Here is a 24,344-nt window from a genome sequence, read left to right on the forward strand (position 1 = left end):
TTTTCTGACTTGCTTATCTAATTATCTATGCTAATATCACATTGATTTGAAAATGGTGACTAAAATATTTTAATATCTTACAAGCCAATTATACTCTTAATTTTTAAGTAGCATTGGCTTTTACTGCTATTTACTCTATCATATGAGATTTGAAATAAGTTTTCAATACCAAAGCAAAAATGCCTTAGAATAATCTTTGGATTTGAGTGAAATCATTTTAGATGTATATATGAATTTTGTTAGAAGTTCTAATTTTATGATATTAGAACTTCCTAAATTAAGATAATAATTATAGATTTGTGTCTGTTTGACAGTGGCTTTTGGACATGGCTGTGGGATGTGGTCCATTGCTGAGGTGGCATATGTGTTCAGAGGAAATTTTAAAAAAAGAATAAAATGAACTAAAAGTCAGGTTGCTTTTAGTAATTATCATCTTGCAGCAGTTCCAAATCAATATCATGGATAAAATATCCATCTCCATTATGGTGATCAACTCCTACATACCTCACCCTTTTTTACTCCAGTATGATAAGGTTTTATACTTTTCATTTAAAAAAATTTTTGCGTATTATTTTTAATTGACAAGTAAAAACTGTGTATTTATGGTGTACAATATAATGTTTTGATATACATATACATTGTGGAATGGCTATATCAAGCAATTTAACATATGAATTACCTCACACATGAATTACCGCTTGTGTGTCGAGAGCACTTAAAATCTACTTGCTCAGCAATTTTCAAGTATACAATATATTGTATTAACTGTAGCAGCAAGGCATACAATAAATCTCTTGATCTTATTCCTCCTATCTAATGAAAATATTTTATCCTTTGACAAACATGTCCTCAACACCACTGGCCCACAATCTCTGGTAAACACCATTTTATTCTCTATTCCTGTAAGTTTGACTTTTTTACACTCCACATGTAAGTGAAATCATGCAGTATGTCTTTCTGTGCCTAGCTTATTACACTTAACATAATGTCCTCCAGGCTCATGCATGTTGTCACAAATAACAGAATTTCATTTTGGCAAAGGATGAATAGTATTCCGTTGTGTATATGTATTACATTTAAAACAATCAGTTCGTTCATTGATGGACACTTAGATCGAGGCTATGTCTTGGCTCTTGTAAATAATTTTTCAGTGAACATGGGAGTGTAGATATCACTTGAACATACTGATTTTATTATTTTTTGCATAATGCCCAGTAGTTGTATAGTTGGGTAATATGATAATTTTAATCTTTGGAGGACCCTCCATATTGTTTTTTATAATTGCTGTACTAACTTACAATTAATTTCACTAACAGTGTTTCAAGGGTTACCTTTCCACCACATTCTCACCAGCATTTATATATTGTCATTTTTATAATAGCCATTTAAACAGGTGTGAGATGATATTTCATCGTAGTTTTAAATTGCATTTCTCTGATGATTAGTGATATTGAGCATTCTTTTCATATACTTCTTGGCCATTTGTATGTGTTCTTTTGGTAAATGTCTATTCAGATCTTATGCCCACTTTGTAATGGAATTATTTGTTTTTTTCTGTTTACTTGTTTGAGTTCCTTATATATTCTGGTTTAATCCTGTGTCAGAGAACAGGAAATATTTTCTCCCAATCTGTAAGTTGTTTATTTTGTTGGTTGTTTTGTTTGCTGTATAGAAGCTTTTTAGCTTGATGTTATATTTTCCTAATTTTGCTTTTGTTGTCTATGCTTTTGGGGTTGTCTTTGCCTAGAACAGGAGCTTTTTTCTGTGTTGACTTTTGGGATTTTTACGGTTTTAGGTATAATATTAAGTCTTTAAATCTATTTTAAGTTGATTTTTGTTTATACTGTGAACTGTGGTCTAATTTCATTCATCTAATTCTCCCATTGAATGTTTTTGACGTCTTTGTCAAAAATCACCTGACCGTAATGGATATATTTATTTCTGACCCTGCTGTTCTGTTCCATTGGTCAATGTGCCTGTTCTGTTCCATTGGACAATGTGCACATTGGTCAATGTGACTTTATAATGGAACTATGCTTTTATTATTACTACAGCTTTGTAGTAGATTTTCAGGTTAGTTAGTACAATACCTTTGGCTTTGTTCTCTTTTTTTTGGTGTAAATTTAGGAGGTACAAGTGTAATTTTGTTACCTGCATACTGAGTAATGGTGAAATCGGGGCTTTCAGTGTATCCATCATTGAAATAATGTACCTTGTACCCATTAAGTAATTTCTCATCTTCCACTCCCATCTCCACCCTTGCAATGACTATCATTCCACAGTCTATGTCCATGTGTACACATTATTTAACTCACACAAATGAGAACATGTGGTATTTGTCTTTCCATGTCAGAGTTATTTCACTTAAGATAGTGACCTCCAGTTCTATCCATGTTGCTGCAAAAAAACATGAATTTATTATTTTTATGGCTGAATAGCATTCCATTGTGTATATATGCCACATGTTTTTACCGAATCATCCATTGATGGACACTTGGGTTGATTTTATATATTTGCCATTGTGAATAGTGGTGTGATAAACATACAGGTAGCTTTTTGTTATAATGATTTCTTTTTCCTTTGGGAAGATACATAGTTGTGGAATTGCTAGAACAAATGGTGGTTCTATTCACTGAGATACCTCCATACTGTTTTTCATAGAAGTTGGTAGTAAATTGCATTCCTTCCAACGGTGTATAAGTTTTTCCTTTCCTCTGCATTCTTGCCAACATCTGTTACAGTTTTGTCTTTTTTAATAGTAGCCATTTTGATCAGTATAAGATAAATATCTCATTGTGGCTTTAATGTGCATTTCTCTGATGAATAATGATGATGAGCATTTAAAAAACATATTTGTTAGCTATTTGTATCTCTTTAAAAAAAAGTCTATTGATGTTCTCTGCCCACTTTTTAATAGGATTACTTGTTCTGTTGTTGTTAAGGTCTTTGAGTTTCTTGTTAAGGCTTTTTTTTCCCCCTCAAGAATATATTGGCTATTCAGGGCCTTCTGTAGTTCCATATGAATTTTACAATTGTTTTTCTATTTTCATTTTTTGGGAACAATTTCATTGAAATATTGGGAGAGATTGCATTGAATTTATAGATTGCTTTGGGTAGTAAAGTCATGTTAACAATATTAATTCTTCCAATCGATGAACATTGGATATTTTTCCATTCATTTGTGTCTTTAATTTTTTTCCTTTCTTATTTTTATTTTGGAGGCAGAGTCTCACTCTGTCACCCAGGCTGAAGTGCAGTCATAGCTGACTGCAGCCTCAAACCCCTGATCCTCCTACCTAAGCCTCCAAAGTAGCTGGGATGACAGGCACACGCCACTACACCCAGCTTTCTTCAATTTCTTTCATCAATGTTTTATAATTTTCATATGGCATTCTTCATGTGTTTCCTCTACTCCTTAATTCAGTTAATTTTAGATTTTGTAGAGTCAAGTGTTCTTGTGAGTGAGGATTTTCTTGTTTACATTTCTGATTATTAGAAGTATTGATAAAAGATAAAATCATACATTTCATTAATTGTTACACTGTACTAATATCTCTTCAGTTTTCTAAGCATGCAACTATTCTATCTGGAAGAAAATATTTACTTTCTGTTTTTTTTAACCTTTTTTTTTAAACTAATATTTATATCAGTAATTTTAACCTCTGTCTTCTCATTTTTGCTACAGCTTCAAAGATAATAGTGCTGCTATTATCTGTTTCTTAAAACAAATGGCCACTATTTCACATTTTAACTGAACAATTCCCGATAGTCTCTTCTATACTATTTACAGTATACACAAAGTTTCCTGCTAATCTTATTCACAGTTGTTTTTTTACTTTTAATTAATGACATTGACTGTATATTATGACAAATAACAGCATTTTTTAAAAGACCACATGATTATTCTTACATAATTTACTGGTACATAGATTATATTTTTAAATTTCAGAGTTACTTGTAATTTTTAATTAGTTACTTTGACTGAATATTATCAAATTTTTTCTAGCATCTTTGATAAGACCTCAATATTTTTCTTCTATAAATTTACTGATGCATAAATTCATTTCATTTTACATTCATAGTCATATATAGCAGCCACAGTTTTACTGAATTAAATATATAATATTAGTATTAAACATATTCTGGTGAATAAGTTATATTAGAATGTTTTTATACTCTTGAATGTTTTTACTTGTATTTGACTATTACTTAAAAATAGGTGGAATTTAGCTGCAAACTTATTTAGTCAGGGTGCTTTTCTTTTTCATTTTTGTCGGTACACAGTAGGCGCATATATTCATGGGGTACATTAGATGTTTTGGTACAGGTATGCAATGTGTGAAAATCACATTGTGGATAATGGAGTATCTGTCTCCTCAAGTATTTACTTTTTGTGTTACAAAGAAGCAAATTACATTCTTTTAGTTATCTTAAAATGTACAATTAAGTTATTATTGACTATAGTCAACCTGTTGTGCTATCAAATAGTAGGTCTTTTTCCTTCTATTTTTTTTTTTTTGTACTCATTAACCCTTCATAACTCCTCTCCAACTCCCATTCCCCACTACCCTTCCCAGCCTCTGGTAACCATCCTTCCACACTTTTTTTGTCCTTGAGTTCAAATTGTTTTGATTTTTAGATCCCATAAATATATGAGAACATGTGATGTTTGTCTTTCTCTTCTTGGCTTATTTCACTTAACATAATGATCTCCAGTTCCATCAATATTGTTGCAAAATGACAGGATCTCATTTTTTTATGGTTGAATAGTACTCCATTGTGTATACATACAATTTTTTCTTTATCCATTAATCTGTTGATAAACACTTAGGTTGGGTACAAATCTTGGTTACTGTGAACAGTGCTGCAACAAATATGAGAGTGTAGATAACTCTTTGATATACTGATTTATTTACTGTTGTGTATATACCCAGCAATGTGCATGCTGAATCATGTTTTTAGCTCTATTTTTATTTTATTGGGGAAACTTCAAACTGTTCTCCATAATGGCTGTACTCATTTATATTTCCACCAACAGTATGTAAGAGTTGCTTTTTCTCCATATCCTTGTCAGCATTTGTTACTGCCTGTCTTTTGGATATAAGTCATTTTAACTGGGGTTGGATGGTATCTCATTGTACTTTTGATTAGCATTTCTCTAATAATCAGTAAAGTTGAGTACCTTTTCATATACTTGTTTGCCATTTGTATGTCTTTTCTTGAGAAACTTTTATGCAAATCTTTTGCCCGTTTCTTGATCACATTAATAATTTTTTTCTATAAAGTTACGTGAGCTTCTTATGGTTATAAATCCCTTGTCAGATGAGTAGTTCGCAAATATTTTCTCCCATTCTATGAGTTGTCTCTTCACTTTGTTGATTGTATTATTTGCTGTGCAAAACCTTTTTAACTTCATGTGAGCCCATTTGTCCAGATTTGCTTTGGTTGCCGGTGCTTGTGGGGCATTACTCAAGAAATTTTTGCCCAAACCCAGGTCCTAGAGATTTTTCCCAATGTATTCTTGTAGTTGTTTCATAGGTTGAGGTTTTAAATTAAGTCTTGAATTATTTTCATTTGATTTTTATATATGATGAGAGAGGTCTAGTTTTATTTATCTGCATGTAGATATCTAGTTTTCCCAGCACCAGTTGTTGAAGGGACTGTCTTTTCCCCAGTGTATGTTCTTGGCACCTTTCGGGAAAATGAGTTCACTGTAGGTATGTGAATTTGTTTCTGGATTCTCTATTCTGCTCCATTTGTGGAACAGTGAACTCTTTTTCCTTAAAGGTGCCAAGAACCAAAATCATGCTGTTTTGGTTACTATAGCTCTGAAGTATTATTTGAAGTCAGGTAATGTGATTCTTTCAGTTTTATTCTTTTTGCTCAGGATAGCTTTGGCTATTTTGAGTCTTTTGTGGTTCCAAATAAATTTTAGGAGGTTGTTGTTTTTATGAAGAATCTTATTGGTATTTTCATAGGGAATGCATTGGATTTGTAGGTTGCATTGGGTAATATGGACATTTTAGCAATATTGATTCTTTCAATCCATAGACATGGAGTATCTTTCCTTTTCATGTGTAGGTGTCCCCTTCAATTCTTCAATTTCTTTTCTTCTTTTTTTTTTTTTTTTTTTTTGACTGAGTCACGCTCTGTCACCCAGGCTGGAGTGTAGTGGCATGATCTAGGCTCACTGCAACCTCTGTCTTCTGGGTTCAAGCGATTCTAATGCCTCAACCTCCCGAGTAGCTGGGACCTCATGTGCGCACCACCACGCCTGGCTAATTTTTTGTATTTTTAGTAGAGATGGGGTTTCACCACATTGGTCAGGCTGGTCTTGAATTTCTGACCTCAAGTAATCAACCCACATTGGCCTCCCAAAGTGCTGGGATTAGAGGCGTGAAGGCGTGAGCTACCATGCCTGGCAGTCCTCTTCAGTTTCTTTCATCAGTGTTTAGTGGTTTTCATTATGGGAATATTTCACTTCTTTGGGCAAGTAAATTCTTAGGTATTTAATTTTTTTGTAGCTATTGAAAATGGGATTGAATTTTTTAATTTCTTTTTCAGATTGTTCATTTTGGCATTTAGAAACTCTATGGATTGTTTACATTGATTTTGTATCCTGCAAATTTACTAAATTTGTTTATCATTTCCAATAGTTATTATGGTGAAGTCTTTATGTTTTTTCAAATATAAGATCATATCATCTGCAAACAAAGATAATTTGACTTCTTTTATCCAAATTTAAATTCCTTTTTTTTTCTCTTGTCTGGTTGCTCTAGCTAGGACTTCCAGTAACATTCTGAATAACAGTGGTGAAAGTGGGCATCTTTCTCACATTCCAGATCTTAGAGGAAAGGCTTTCATTTTCTGCCATTCAGTATGATGCTAACTGTGTGTCTGTTGTATATAGCTTTTACTATGTGGTGATATGTTCCTTCTATACCTGTTTTTTTTTTGGGAGTTTTTAATCATGAAGGGGTGTTGAATTTTATTGAATGCTTTTTATGCATCAATCGAAATGATCATATCATTTTTATCTTTCATTCTGTTAATGTTAACATCAATTTGATTGATTTATGCGTAATGAACCAGCTTGCATCCCAGGGATAAATTAAATCCCACTTGGTCATGATAACTGATCTTTCTAATGTATTGTTGAATTTCTTTTGCTAGTATTTTGTGGAGAATTTTTGCATCAATATTCATCAGAGATATTGGCCTGTAGACTTCATTTTTCATGTGTCTTGGTGTGGTTTTTGTATCAGGGTAATACTGGCCTCATAGGATGAGTTTGGAAGTATTCTGATCAAAGTGCTTTCCAAGAATAAACTACCAATAATCTTCACATTTTCTTCTGTAGTAATTAATTTATCAAGTTACTTGTCCCTATTGGGTTAATATTGGTAGATCAACTATTACTAATGATATGGAGAAGAGACAAGGAAATACTGGCTAGGAAAGGGCAGTTCTTTTGCAAAGACCCCACCCTCAAGCCTGGATACCCATGGCCCTAAATGAGGACAGGCATTCCTGTTTTCATGCTGAAAAACTACTTTTTGACCTGCCATGCCCCCTATCCTGTACCCATATTAACCCCAGGCCTCAGGCTCCAGAAGCAGAAAAGGAGAGGAGCAGACAAATAGCAGAACAGTGTGGCAGAGAAAGAGAGAAGAGAAGGGGTGTCTGAACGCCTAGAGGAGTTTGACTGGTGATGTATGGAGAGGATATCGGCTGCTGAGCAGCCAAACTCCAGGGGAAGATCATCTTCCCACTCTATCCCCTTCCCAGCTCCTCATCCGTCTTGCTGAAAGCCACTTCCACTACTTAATAAACCCCCTGCATTCATGCTTCAAGTCCGTGTGAGACCTGACACTTTCGGGAGACTGAACAAGAGCTCAGGATACAGAAAACTGTCACACTGGCCTTCTGCTCTTATAAAGAGGCAGAGGGTCCACTGAGCTGGATAACACTTAAGCTGTCCATGGATGGCAAGGCTAATAGAGTGCACTGTAACAAACACTCATTTGGGCTTTGGTAGTCACAGGCTCCCACCTCTGGAGGCTGCTGTGGGGCTGGAGTCCAGTGCCCTGGCTCCTACCACTGCCTGTCTATGTGCTCCTCCCTCCCATAAGGGGTTTGAGCAGTGGCAGTGACCACACAGATGAGCCACACTCCTGTTGCATGTCCTGCAAGGGCAGTCAGAGAACTCTTCCCTTTCACTAAGCAATCATCTATTTCTTTGAGATTTAAAAAATCTTGCTGCTGTCTGTGGATAATTCATTATTTTTAATCTCCAATGCATTACTCTCTTTTTTCCTTATTCAAGCACGTCAGTTTTTGATTAATTTATCTTTTCCAGTATTTTCTTATTTTCTATTTCATTATATTTTTGTCAGCACTTACTATTGTTAATTTGTACTTTCCTATATTTTTAAAATTTTGTTTAGTACTTTTTTTAAAAAAGTATTACTATATTTTCTTTCTTATTGATGAAGGCATGTGATGGTACACATTTTAATCTCACTTTGATATGATGAATTCACTCATATGTAACATTAGGAAGAGGTTTCCTTTTAATAAAAGTTTTTTTTCCTATAGTAGAATAAGTCTGCAATAAGGATAAAGCCCAGTATTAGAATATGTTGATGTCCTAATTCCAGTGCCTGTGTATGTGACCATATTTGGAAATAGAGTTTTTGCAGATGTTATCAAATTAAGATGAGGTCACTAGAGTGAGCTCCAGTCCAGTATAATTAAAATCCTGACAAGCAGAGGCAAGCATTATGTGACGACACACACAGAGAAATGGACATGTGACAATAGAGGCAGAGACTGAGGCCTTGCCACTGCAAACTAAGAAATACCAACAATTGCTTGGCAAACGACTAGAAGCTAGGGCGGATCAGGGAAAGATTTATTTTTCTAGGTTTCAGAGGGAGCATGTCTCTGACAACACCTTGAATTCGGATATCTAGCCTCCAGACTGTGATACAATACATTTCTCTTCTTTTAAGCCACCCAATTTTGGTACTCTGTTACAGCAGCCCTAGGAAACTAATATACCCATCCACCCAGCTAAACAAACAAAAACAAAATATACCTCACATGGACTTTTAAATTATAGTTTTCTAAGTGTAACAGTCATTTCAGTGCTATTTCAGTACTGGTGCTACAATTTCAGAATTTTATTGATCAATATTTAAAAAATTCCCAGAGGAAAAATCCTTATCATAAATGAGATACCTATTCCTTCCTCTGTAAGTTACAGGATATAAGGAAGTTTCAGTTGCCACTTTCTGAAGGATCAGAATTCTGAGTCATCCCTCCATGATTTATTTTAAGCTTTTCTATTTATAGTCTGTCTGCCACAATACCCATAATATATATATATATATATGTTGGCTTAGGGCCATTCTCCAGTTTCAGTAAAAATGAAAATTCATATCATTTTTGTTTGATTTGGTCATGTCTTTAGCTCTCTGTGTGGAAATCATAAAATGTGTTCATAATTTTATACTTCCTCTTCTTCTCTATTCCAAAAGTAAGCTTTCTGTTAGGTGGAGCTATGTTTATTTATAGCTTTCACACCTAGAAGGGTATTTGGAACATTGTAAGCATAAAATAAAGATGTATTAAAGGAATCAAAGTTATCCATTCATTTGCTTACTTAATGACAAAGAAGTGGAAGGAAAATATAAATTCCCAAACGTATAAAACATTTACCATAGAATACATTTTATATGACATTTTATTATACAAAAGATAGAGTAATAGAACAATGTAAATATAACAATCAGTGTTAAAAATGAGTTTTCTAATATGGACAAACTATTTTTAAAAGATGCTCCAATATCAATTTCTGAGGGTGATATATATTTTTAATTGATATTGTCATAAGTTTCCAATTTTTACCTGGCACATTCCAGAGCAACAGAGCCTGCATTAGTGTTGATAATTAGAATCCAAGTTCCATTTCTATTAATCTTTGTGTGTTTATGTTTTCCAGTCAATAAAATAGGCCAGTGACCATATTCATCCATGACGGTTGTGAAGATAGCATTGGTTTTAGAACTCTTGACAGATAAGTGACAGCAATCTATGAAACCAACTGATCCTACGCATAACATCAAAATCAACAAATCAAACTCCCTTTTATCAATTACGTACCTAATAGCTACAAAGTCCATTTTAATGGTCATTAGAGACTTGCCTTGGAATAAAATAAATAATACTCGTCTCGACAAATGGCATCTGTTTTTAATAATTATTATCATTTCCTCTTTTTTCTCCTACGAATGTATTAAAAATCTAAATTTAATTAGCAATCCTTTAACAAGTACTTATAGTTTATAAAAATCACTGACCATAAGTCGTTGAGTTGCTTGTTCAACTTTGACAAATGGAGAAAAAAATAAAACCAAAAGGAATTCATGGCTTAAGTTCCCTAAGAGAGTGAACAAAAACGCAAAACAGAAATGCCTTTGAAGAACTATTATGTCAGTGCAAAAGTAATTGTGGTTTTTGCCATTGAAAGTACCAGCAAAAACTATGATTACTTTTGCACCAAACTAATATCAGTTATGTAATTATAAACTTAAACACTACTTTATTATGTCATGATTGTTCTTGTGTGTCTAGTGCTTTCTGGTTTTCTATAGTTTTCCAACTATCCATTAGGCAATTACTTCTTTCCCACTTTTATTTTTTTTCTTCAGACAGAGTCTCACTCTGTCACCCAGGCTGGAGTGCAGTGGGGTGACCTCAGCTCCCTGCAACCTCTGCCTCCTGGGGCTCAAGCAATTCTTGTGCCTCAGTCTCCTGAGTAGCTGGGATTACAGGCACCCACCAGGACGCCCGGCTACTTTTTGTATTTTTAGTAGAGAGGGGGTTTCACCATGTTGGCCAGGCTGGTCTTGAACTCCTGGCCTCAAGTTATCCTCTCACCTCAGGCTCCCAAATTGCTGGAATTACAGGCATAAGTTACCACGCCCAGCCTTTTCTCCCACTTTTGACTCTCATTTTGAAGTAATCTATCCTGATATAATTTTCTTCACTAGTGGAAAGATAAGAGTATAATCTAAGTTTGGCCTGACAAATTTGTTTGCTCTAAGATATTAAATCTTGAGGTAAATGATGAAAGAATAGAGTGGATTCCTCTAGTTGAAATACACTTTTGAGACTGATCAGATTCTTGGAATTTGCCAACTACCTTTTTTTTTCTCAACCAGATTCTTCAATTTTTCTTAAAAAGTCTGCAATGTGCTACCATATCATTGTAATTAAAATATGTTTTTTACTAAGTTGTCTAGGGTCTTTTCATGTTGATTTATTTAAATAAATCACTCTGACTCAGATTTGTAATAAATCAGATTAGTCATATTTATGGAATAAATTAAAATAAGTCTAACTATTTATATGAAAGTTAATCTCCATAACGGCAAAGGTAAATTTTTCACCGTTATACTTGAATTTCCATAAGAGATCTTATACTGTGTTATTTGATGAATGTTTATCTAATGAATTAAAAATTAATGACTTTATTAATGCATCTTGTTTCTGTGGCACCCGAAAGTGATTTTAGCCCTTTAATGAGGTGAAGTAAGTCTCAAATATTTCTTCATTTAAAAATTTAAGCTTTTTTCCTTTAAAATTAACAACTCACTACTCATAAATATTAGGAGAGAGAAACTCTAAAATAAAATAAGTTATCTTAGGTCACATTAGCCAACAACTATCTGTTGTTTTACTTAATATGTCACTGTTCTAAAAGCATTTGAAAGAGAAGAGTGAAATTAATAGTACAGAAATCATAGGATACAAACAAACATGACAAAAAATTTATGAGCAGGTTTCTAGCCATGACAAAAAAAATATTAATATGCAGGAAAAAAGTGTAGAGGGAATGAAACTAGACTTAACTTCCATAATGTAGTGCTTATTTTTTTAAACCTGTTTACTTTGAAGGCCTTTCATCCTGACTACCGATATAAATATCATCAACTGTGATTTTCTTCCAAGTCATTGTCTGGCATGGGATGTTATCAAGTGAGTTTAGCTGTACTTTAATTTTGGGGGCCAGTAACTTAAAACTACACACACACACACACCTCATTTTTAGAGTGTTCGCTTATTTGGCTAACTAAAAACTGTTTTACTCACATTATGCAACAAAATTTTTCTGTACCAAAATAACCCTGCTAGGTATTATGACCATTATTTCCTAAAATAATGATACTTTAATGAAAAAAAACACATAACCAAGATTAAAATAAATATATTTGCTTTGAAATATTTAAAACTAGGTGTTACTACCTTACATCATATTAGTAATTATGTATTACTTTAATTTTTGTGTCAGTTAAAATTTAACTATTAACTATCTTTAATGATTTAATGAAATAGTTAATGATCTAATGAAACAGTTATTTTTCAGGACTGAAAAATAAAATTTGAATAAAATCACTTTTCAGACTTTCATTTTCTAGTCTGACATGAATGGACTTTGGTAGTCTTCACTCCTGTGCTTATAACAAGAAAAAAGCTGAACAAACTGAAAATCATAGCTCTTTGTTGTTACCTGAGAGGACTGAGGTCACAGGGAAACCTACTCCTCCCAAAATTGAAGAAATAGTTGGATATGGAGAATTATTTAAGTAGAAGCCCAGGAGGAAAAAACAAAAAACAAAAAACAAACAAAAGCTCAATGTAAACCAATACTGGGGTAGTGAAACCTTAACTGTAAGTGACAAAATCATGAAAACTCAGTGTGAATATCCTGAGTTTAAACTCTGGGTGTTTAATCTTATTTTATGAGTTTTGCCTTCAGAACACTACCAGGCTCTCACAATGAAGACTGGAGAAAAATCTGCTTGAAGAAGGAGGGGAAAAATCATTATTATTAACGTCTGACCAAAGCATTCTATTTTCCTTAACAATATCTACCCTAAAGAAGTCTATTTTACCAGAGCCTAACTGACTGGGGTTTTACCAGAGATGAACTAACTCAGGGTAATCTAACTCCAGCTCCATCTTTCCTTCCTATATTCCATGAGAAGCATTGGTGAAGGTCATAGCGCACTAAAAGACTGAGACCCAATTACAGGACTAAAGAATGCTTCTTTCCCCCACACACCTTACCACCGCACCAATCAGTCTCTTGTATAACAAAACACATACAACTGAAAGAACTGTGCATTCTTAATGTTATATGAGAAGAGGTCTCTAGGGAGACCAAAAGGCAACAAGGGTCACATAAGCAGACACGAGAAAATTGTCAGACTCTGACACCCGCAGCAAAGAATAACTTACAATGTAAGTGGACAGCACGATAACAAATGGACAATTAAGCAGAGAGATGAAAACACCAAGAAAGAGTTAAAATAAAACACTAGAAATCAAAAACATTACTGAAAAGAAGAATGTCTTGAATGGGTCAATAGATTGGACATAAACAACATTGTATACAGTGAGATTAAGGATATGTCAATAGAAACTTTTGAAATTGAAATGCAAAGAGAAAATAGAAAAGAAAATTAGAACAGAATAACCTAGAACTGTGGGACAATTACAAAAGGTATAACATTCATAATGAGACTACCAGAGAGAGAGGAAAGAGAAGAAGAAACAAGAACTATTTGCTGCAAAAATGACAGAATTTTCCAAATTTAATGATAGGTACCAAACCAAACCACAGACACACAAAGCCCAAAGAACAACAAGCGGAATACATACTAAAACATTTACACCTAGCATATCATGTTCAAACCACAGAAAACAAAAGAGAAAGAAAAAAATCCTGGTGGATGCCGGGGAAGTGAAAGGGGGAATGGGGACCTTGTGCTTATACAGGAGCAAGGATAAGAATTAAGTAACAACATATTAAACGATTTCGGTTTACAGATAAGCAAAATGAATGATAGTGATGTTATGGAGGGTGGGAGGGAGGAATTGGGAATACTCTGTTCTAAGGTACTTGCACTACCTGAGAAGTGATATGGTGTTACAAAAAGCATAACTTGTATTACTATATGCTACAAACGCAATGGCACGACTAAAAGATTTTTTCAATTAAATCATACAAAATGCTCAATTAAAACAATAAAAAGCAGAAAAATAATAAAAGAAAAAAATAAACAAAAACAAAAGTAGTAAGCAGAAAACACTAAAAATTTGGTAGATATTAATCCAAGTATGTCAATAATCACTTTAAACATCAGTGGTCTAAATATAACAAATAAATGAAAGAAACTGTATGAATGTTTTGTTATAGAACATGATCCAATGATATATTATCTAAAAACAACCCACTTCAAATATTAACATATGATACATTAAGTGAAAGTATGTGATACATCGTGCTAATACAACTGAAAGAAAGCCGGAGTAACTATAATAATTTCAGACAAGGCAGACTTCAGAGTAAGAAAAATTACTAGGCATAAATAACAGTATTACATAAGGATTTGGGGGCAATGATGGAGTATCAAAGAGAAGACATAACAATTCTTAATATCTTTAATAATTAAGCATCTAAATATGTAAGACAAAACAGAGATGCAAGAAGAAATGGATGAATCCATTATTACAGCTGGAGACTTCAACACCTCTTTATTACTAATTTACATCCATGAGGCAGAAAACCGATAAAGATGTGGTTGAACTGAACAGCACCACCAATCAACAAGATCTAGTGGACATCTATCTATAGAATACTTCATCCAAAAATGCAGATTCCGCATTCTCCTCAAGCTCTCATGAAAGATTTACCAATATAGACCACATTCTGGATCATAAAATACAACTTAACAAATTTTAAAAAGTAGAAATCATACAGAGTGTGTTCTTAGTTCATATTGAGAAACTGAATTAAAATGAGCTAATGATCTATTGTTATGATAATAATGAATCCATAAATGACTATTATAATTTGTGTTTTTTGTGCACCTGCATTTTCCCAATGTAAATGCAATCACATTAACAGGATCTTGAATACCTACAAAGAAATGGTAAGCAATAGGGCAACTGGAAGAACGTCAGCAGAAATTTGCAAAACATTCATTTAAAAAAAGGTGTTCAGAACTTCCACAATTAACAAATGAGCAGTTTAACGTTTTAATTCACATTTAAAAAATAAAATTGGCCAGTCTACATCACATGAAGAAAGTATAGTGCTATTATTACGTTCCAACTCTGTATTACTCACATTCTAGTATACTGTGAGTAACACACTAGCCCCTGAAAATGAGTGTTTACATGAAATTTCTCTGGCTGTGCATCAGTTCATTTTGTTGGTCCTCTCAGGAGGTCCTCATTGTTAATGCGGCTTCCTTTTTACCTCTGCTATTGCCTGACATAAAATAGGAAGATATTTACTCAGACTTTCTAGATGTAATTCACAACTCCTTCCTGTTGCCACTTCCAGATCCTCTTCAGATTTATAGTATAACAATAATTACTGTTCATCTTTTTTACTGATCTGACTCCAGAAGAGATTGTGACTAAGCATAATTCTAGGTATCCATTCTGCTGATCACAATGCATATCATATGATGGTTAATCAATAAAAGCTTGATCAATGAGTGAATGAATGGATGAATAAATCACATAATAAAACCAGTACAGTGAGGGATTATTTTTCTTCATTCTGATCTAAGAACATTATTGCAAAGGGCTCCACAATTTGACTATATTTATTATGATAGTACGCATGCAAACACAAATATGTCTGCAATATAGAACCTTTTTGCTGATATAAAAGAATTCTATTGAATTTCATATTAATAGACAACGTACCTGGAAGTGAATTTCACTAAGTCTTTTCATAGCTAGTCTCTGCCCCAGGTTCTTCAACCTGGTACACTGTCACAAAGTATTAATGATGGATTTAATACTGGAATGAATATACACACACACGAAAAAAGTAAAATGGTGTTGCACAACTGCTGTAGAACATTCATGCTTTCTGTAATTTCAAATGTTGTTATTAAATTTACTTACCGACTTATAACCTATGTAGACATAAAAATATAAAAACCAAAGTTAATTATATTACAGTCAACATTTCTAAAATATAAAATTTGATGTAAAAACCTGAGGCAAAACCAAAATAATTGTGAAAAACTAAGACAGAGTTCATATATCAAATAGAAAAAATAAAATTCTATACTCTTGAAAAATTATCCATATGCCAAACCAAATTTCTGCATCTGTATCAGTCTTTGGATATAGCTAATTACCACATACCATTGTTATACTCTGTATCACACTTCAGACAAAATGATCACAAAATATTTGAGAATTTATGAAGCAATAAGTAGTTAATAATGATCTCTGTCCAAAGTTTTATCCTGGGATATTCATACATTGTGCAATTGCTAAATTGAGCTAATGAACATTACTTCACATTCTTTTTATTTTTTATTTTTTGTGGTGAAAACACACTGTACATTCTTAGCAATTTTCAAGAATGTATTATGTTGTTATTAAGTGTAGTTGTCATGTTGTACAACAGATGTCTTGAACACATACATATTTAAAACATATTGTACAGGATATATATATACAGTTTTTATTTCCAATTAAAATACATTATACGTAAAAGGATTTATCCCGGGTGGAAAGAAATATGAACAAGTAATAACTCTAAATATTTTTACATTTTAAAATTGTTTCCCATTAGACTTTGATTAAAAATAAATTTGATGTTCGTAACACAAAGAAATAATAAACACTTGAGGTGATAGAGGCCCCATTTGCTCTGATGTGATTATTACACATTGTATGCCTTTATCAAAATATCACATGCACTCCAGAAATATATATATACACACATAAATATGCATACATATATATACACACATACATATATATACATATATATACACATACATATATATACATATATACACATACATATATACATATATGTACACATACATATATATACATATATATATACATATATGTACACATACATATATATACATATATATATACCTAGTATTTACCCATAAAAATTAAAAATTCAAAAAATCTGAACCAGAAACAATGTCTAGAGGAACACTTATGCTAAAGAACCATGGAATTTATGAGCTGAACGGTACCTATGTGGAGCCCATCTTCTCTAATCTGCTCATTTTATGAATGAAGTGACAGAGGAATACAGAAGGCAAAAGACCTGCTGGAAGTCAGAGGGTTCTCGATAGCAGCAAAACCATACTGGAATGCAGCTCTCCCAACTCCAGTGCCATTTATGCAATTACAACAGTGTTTCTCAGCAGCAGCACTGTTAACATTTTGAAACTGATGCTTCATTGAGAAGGATAATCCTGTGCACTGTAGAATGTTTAGTAGCATCCCTGGCCTCTCCTCACTAGATGCCAGTATCACTTCCCTAGATCCTCCTAAATTTGTAAGAGATGAAAAGGAACAAGATCATGTCCTTTGCAGGGACGTAGATGGACATGGAAGCCATTATCCTCAGTAAACTAACAGAAAAACAAACACCACATATTCTCACTTATAAGTGGGACTGGAATGATGAGAACACATGGACACAGCGGGGGACGATAGACACTGGGGACTCTTGGGGGATGGGGGGCCTGGGAGCAAGAGCATCAGGAAGAACAGCTAATGGATGCTGGGCATAATACCTAGGTGATGGGTTGATGTGTGCATCAAACCACCATGGCACACATTTACCTATGTAACACAAGCACATGGGCATGTAACCCAGGACTTAAAAGTTTAAAAAACAAATGTTTTCAGATGTTGCAATTTGTAGGGGACAAATTATTCCCAGCTGAGAACCACTGAGTTACAGAATACTGCAGCTAGAAGGCGCCTAGAGGGAAGGAATTTCTCTTCAAATAGGATCACACCTAAAGCTGCCTAGGATGAAATATTTCATTCTTTAGTTTCCCCGTTAGAGAGAAGGTTCAAAGAATTTTTAGTCAGTGAAGTTCTTCCGTATACCTAGACTAATCATTCTGGCTGCAAATTATAAATTAAAATAAACTCTGAAAAACAAATAAATAAATACATTTGATGAATTATATTGAGGAATGAATGTAAGGATTGTTCACATTAATGTATATATTTCTGAAATATTTTAAGTAAAGGCAATACCATCTTCTTTATACATTTGGTCTCCAACTCAAAAAAATTATCAAGAAGCATTATTGAAGTCATTCTGGTAGTTCTCATAAGCAGATGAAATTTCTAATATTTGCATTTGTTTTCTACTTGATGATAACATTTATATTTCATTCAATCACAAAACAAGTAGTAATACGCATCTGATTTATTTATTACCTGATTTGATTCACTTTAGATGTGAAAGTTTAGACAACTTTCTTGAGTTTTTTATGTATTTTATTAGATTTTAAGTTAAATTAAATTTCTATATTTATTTTATTTTTCTTTCTTTGTTTTTCTCTTCCATTGATTATAAGGTATTTGGATAGAAACAGTGGGTGTTTCATGTATTTAGATGTTGTGATGGATATATTCCACTGCCTCATCCACCTCATAACCTCCCTTGAGGATTCAAGTAGGAACATTTTCACCTTGCCTCCAGTCCTAACAATCAAGTTTCCCAACCATAATGGAATCTAGCAAAAAGTACAGTGAATATGCAAATGTTAAAGGAACTTTGAGGATATATGTTGCAACATGTTTTTGTGCATAATCACTGTTGTAGAGATGAGAGAATGGCAGCATATGTACCAGATACTTGGCAATGAACAACATATGTTATTTTTCCCAGAAGTGTTTTAAGTTGAAACAAGATGTATGAAAAAATTTTAAGTTCATGTGTCCCTTTTGTAAGAGCATGAAAAAGAGATGTCTTCCTTTGTAGTAATAATGATATTGTCACCAATGGTTAATAGTATTCCCATTTCTAAAGATTTAACTAGCCAATAAAAAAGATGAAAAACTTCAGAAATAGGAGAAAGATGGGAAAACACTATGATAAATTATATATTTATATGTGAACTTCCTGCTTAAATAAAAATAGTCACTCCAGTAAGTCATTTAATTGGCCAGAAAGCAACAACAAATGAGCAAGTTTGATGAAAGCTTGATGTCTCTCAATCAAAATTAATGACCACTAAGTAAATATTATTAATAGTTTCTTAATAATTATTATTAATATAGACTATTTACACAAAATGTTAAATTGTAAGCTGAGCAAAAAATGAATATCTGATGAATACAGTTCATACTGATGTAATTTAAAATGACTAAATAAATAGGAAATGAAACATTTTTTTAAAAGGTAATCTAAATAATATATGGTTTTTTCCCCTTCATGAGGTGAAGCTTAATCATCCACCTCCCACCGTCCCTTGACTGTGGACAATTAGTGATTTATTTTCAAAAAATAGAGTATGGTAAAAATGAAACCTTACCATGGAGGAAAGTGACAAATACTACCTTGGCAAGGTGAACAAGGTAAACATCCTTAGTGATAAGTCATGTTGATAGCATGTATCCCCGATATGATGTAGTAAAAAGGATACTTCACTTTTGCTCTTTCAAAAACCCATAAACCCAGCCTAATCAAGAGGAACATGTAAAATAACAACAACAAAACAAATTGAGGCACCTTCTATAAAATAGCTGACAAGTACTTCTCAAAACTGCCAAGGTAACAAAAAACAAGGAAATATGAAAATGTCTACACACCAGTAGAGACTAAGGAAATATGACAACTAAATGCAATGTAACATCTTGGATAAGATTCTGGAACAGAAAACATACATTAGTAGAAAATCTTGTGAAATCTGAATCAAATGTGAAGTTTAGTTAGTATTAATATACCAAAGTTGGTTTCTTAGTCATGGCAACTGTACTATGGTAATGTGAGATGTTAACAATAGGAGAAACTGGGTGGGAACTCTTTGTACTTGAGAAGAATGTGTATTTGCTGCTTCTAGGAGTAGTATTCTATCACTAATTAAATTGATTTGATTGGTGTTCTTCAGACCTCTGTGTCCTAACTGATTTTCTATTTGCTATATCAATTACTGAAATAGGATGGCTCAAACAATAAGTGTAGATTTGTCTAGTTCTCATTTTGTTTCTATGAGTTTTTCATCCATGCAACTTGAAGCTCTATTTTTAAGTGCATTAAACATTTAAGCATGTTATGTTTCCTTGGTGAATAATTTTTTTTTAATTACTTAATTTTTTTGTTTTTATTATACTTTAAGTTTTAGGGTACATGTGCACAACATGCAGGTTAGTTACATATGTATACATGTGCCATGCTGGTGCACTGCACCCACTAACTCGTCATCTAGCATTAGGTATATCTCCCAATGCTATCCCTCCCGCCTCCCCCCACCCCACAACAGTCCCCAGAGTGTGATATTCCCCTTCCTGTGTCCATGTGATCTCATAGTTCAATTCCCACCTATGAGTGAGAATATATGGTGTTTGGTTTTTTGTTCTTGCGATAGTTTACTGAGAATGATGATTTCCAATTTCATCCATGTCCCTACAAAGGACATGAACTCATCATTTTTTATGGCTGTGTAGTATTCCATGGTGTATATGTGCCACATTTTCTTGATCCAGTCTATCATTGTTGGACATTTGGGTTGGTTCCAAGTCTTTGCTATTGTGAATAATGCCGCAGTAAACATACATGTGCATGTGTCTTTATAGCAGCATGATTTATATTCCTTTGGGTATATACCCAGTAATGGGATGGCTGGGTCAAATGGTATTTCCAGTTCTAGATCCCTGAGGAATCGCCACACTGACTTCCACAATGGTTGAACTAGTTTACAGTCCCACCAACAGTGTAAAAGTGTTCCTATTTCTCCACATCCTCTCCAGCACCTGTTGTTTCCTGACTTTTTAATGATTGCCATTCTAACTGGTGTGAGATGGTATCTCATTGTGGTTTTGATTTGCATTTCTCTGATGGCCAGTGATGATGAGCATTTTCTCATGTGTTTTTTGGCTGCATAAATGTCTTCTTTTGAGAAGTGTCTGTTCATGTCCTTCGCCCACTTTTTGATGGGGTTGCTTGTTTTTTTTCTTGTAAATTTGTTTGAGTTCATTGTAGATTCTGGATATTAGCCCTTTGTCAGATGAGTAGGTTGTGAAAATTTTCTCCCATTTTGTAGGTTGCCTGTTCACTCTGATGGTAGTTTCTTTTGCTATGCAGAAGCTCTTTAGTTTAATTAGATCCCATTTGTCAATTTTGTCTTTTGTTGCCATTGCTTTTGGTGTTTTAGACATGAAGTCCTTGCCCATGCCTATGTCCTGAATGGTAATGCCTAGGTTTTCTTCTAGGGTTTTTATGGTTTTAGGTCTAACATTTAAGTCTTTAATCCATCTTGAATTGATTTTTGTATACGGTGTAAGGAAGGGATCCAGTTTCAGCTTTCTACATATGGCTAGCCAGTTTTCCCAGCACCATTTATTAAATAGGGAATCCTTTCCCCATTGCTTGTTTTTCTCAGGTTTGTCAAAGATCAGATAGTTGTAGATATGCGGCGTTATTTCTGAGGGCTCTGTTCTGTTCCATTGATCTATATCTCTGTTTTGGTACCAGTACCATGCTGTTTTGGTTACTGTAGCCTTGTAGTATAGTTTGAAGTCAGGTAGTGTGATGCCTCCAGCTTCATTCTTTTGGCTTAGGAGATGACATGATTGTATATCTAGAAAACACCATTGTCTCAGCCCAAAATCTCCTTAAGCTGATAAGCAACTTCAGCAAAGTCTCAGGATACAAAATCAATGTACAAAAATCACAAGCATTCTTATACACCAACAACAGACAAACAGAGAGCCAAATCATGAGTGAACTCCCATTCACAATTGCTTCAAACAGAATAAAATACCTAGGAATCCAACTTACAAGGGATGTGAAGGACCTCTTCAAGGAGAACTACAAACCACTGCTCAAGGAAATAAAAGAGGATACAAACAAATGGAAGAACATTCCATGCTCATGGGTAGGAAGAATCAATATCGTGAAAATGGCCATACTGCCCAAGGTAATTTACAGATTCAATGCCATCCCCATCAAGCTACGAATGACTTTCTTCACAGAATTGGAAAAAACTACTTTAAAGTTCATATGGAACCAAAAAAGAGCCCGCATCGCCAAGTCAATCCTAAGCCAAAAGAACAAAGGTGAATAATTTTTTTTTTTTCTGCTTTTTTTTATTTTTTTTTATTTTTAATCTTTTTTTTTTTTTCTTTTTTTATTATTATTATTATACTTTAAGTTTTAGGGTACATGTGCACATTGTGCAGGTTAGTTACATATGTATACATGTGCCATGCTGGTGCGCTGCACCCACTAACGTGTCATCTAGCATTAGGTATATCTCCCAATGCTATCCCTCCCCCCTCCCCCGACCCCACCACAGTCCCCAGAGTGTGATATTCCCCTTCCTGTGTCCATGTGATCTCATTGTTCAATTCCCACCTATGAGTGAGAATATGCGGTGTTTGGTTTTTTGTTCTTGCGATAGTTTACTGAGAATGATGGTTTCCAATTTCATCCATGTCCCTACAAAGGACATGAACTCATCATTTTTTATGGCTGCATAGTATTCCATGGTGTATATGTGCCACATTTTCTTAATCCAGTCTATCATTGTTGGACATTTGGGTTGGTTCCAAGTCTTTGCTATTGTGAATAATGCCGCAATAAACATACGTGTGCATGTGTCTTTATAGCAGCATGATTTATAGTCATTTGGGTATATACCCAGTAATGGGATGGCTGGGTCAAATGGTATTTCTAGTGAAGGACCTCTTCAAGGAGAACTACAAACCACTGCTCAAGGAAATAAAAGAGGACACAAACAAATGGAAGAACATTCCATGCTCATGGGTAGGAAGAATCAATATTGTGAAAATGGCCATACTGCCCAAGGTAATTTACAGATTCAATGCCATCCCCATCAAGCTACCAATGACTTTCTTCACAGAATTGGATAAAACTACTGTAAAGTTCATATGGAACCAAAAAAGAGCCCGCATCGCCAAGTCAATCCTAAGCCAAAAGAACAAAGCTGGAGGCATCACACTACCTGACTTCAAACTATACTACAAGGCTACAGTAACCAAAACAGCATGGTACTGGTACCAAAACAGAGATATAGATCAATGGAACAGAACAGAGCCCTCAGAAATAATGCCGCATATCTACAACTATCTGATCTTTGACAAACCTGAGAAAAACAAGCAATGGGGAAAGGATTCCCTATTTAGTAAATGGTGCTGGGAAAACTGGCTAGCCGTCTGTAGAAAGCTGAAACTGGATTCCTTCCTTATACCTTATACAAAAATCAATTCAAGATGGATTAAAGATTTAAACGTTAGACCTAAAACCATAAAAACCCTAGAAGAAAACCTAGGCATTACCATTCAGGACATAGGCGTGGGCAAGGACTTCATGTCCAAAACACCAAAAGCAATGGCAACAAAAGCCAAAATTGACAAATGGGATCTAATTAAACTAAAGAGCTTCTGCACAGCAAAAGAAACTACCATCAGAGTGAACAGGCAACCTACAACATGGGAGAAAATTTTCACAACCTACTCATCTGACAAAGGGCTAATATCCAGAATCTACAATGAACTCAAACAAATTTACAAGAAAAAAACAAACAACCCCATCAAAAAGTGGGCGAAGGACATGAACAGACACTTCTCAAAAGAAGACATTTATGCAGGTGAATAATTTTTTATGATTATTCAATATCCCTCCTCATCTCTTGTAATACTTCCTGATCTGAACCATGCTTTGTCTGATATTAATATAGCCTCTCCATCTTCCATTTGATTAATTTTGTTCACATTTCATGTGATTGTAAGGTGCCAAGACCATCTACACTTAATAAAATTGATATGTTTGGATATAAAATTATCAACTTATTAAATTGTATTTGTTTCATCTGTTCTTATTCCTTTTTACTTTTTCTGCCTTTCTTTGAATTAAATATGTATTTTGTGTTACTTGCTGTAAGTTTCTTTATTAGCTTATAATTATACCACTTTGTCTACTAGTTTTAGTGGTTGCCCTAAGTTTCATAATACATAGCTTCAACTTATCACAGTGCATTTACAAATATCACATATTTGCCTATATTTTATGAACACTACAGCAATGTATAACTAGTCTGTTCCACTCTTTGTATTCTTTATTGTCTATTTTAAACTTATGTTATAATATACATAATTAATTGTTATTGTTTTGCTTTATGCAATTATTTTTTGAGTGGCTAAAATAAGAATACATGCCTTTGATGGAGTACAGTGGGGCACAATCATAGCTCACTGCAGTCTCCATCTCTGGGGCTCAAGCCATT

This window comes from Homo sapiens, chromosome 9 (genome assembly GCF_000001405.40).
Source record: "Homo sapiens chromosome 9, GRCh38.p14 Primary Assembly".
Taxonomy (NCBI): Eukaryota; Metazoa; Chordata; class Mammalia; order Primates; family Hominidae; genus Homo; species Homo sapiens.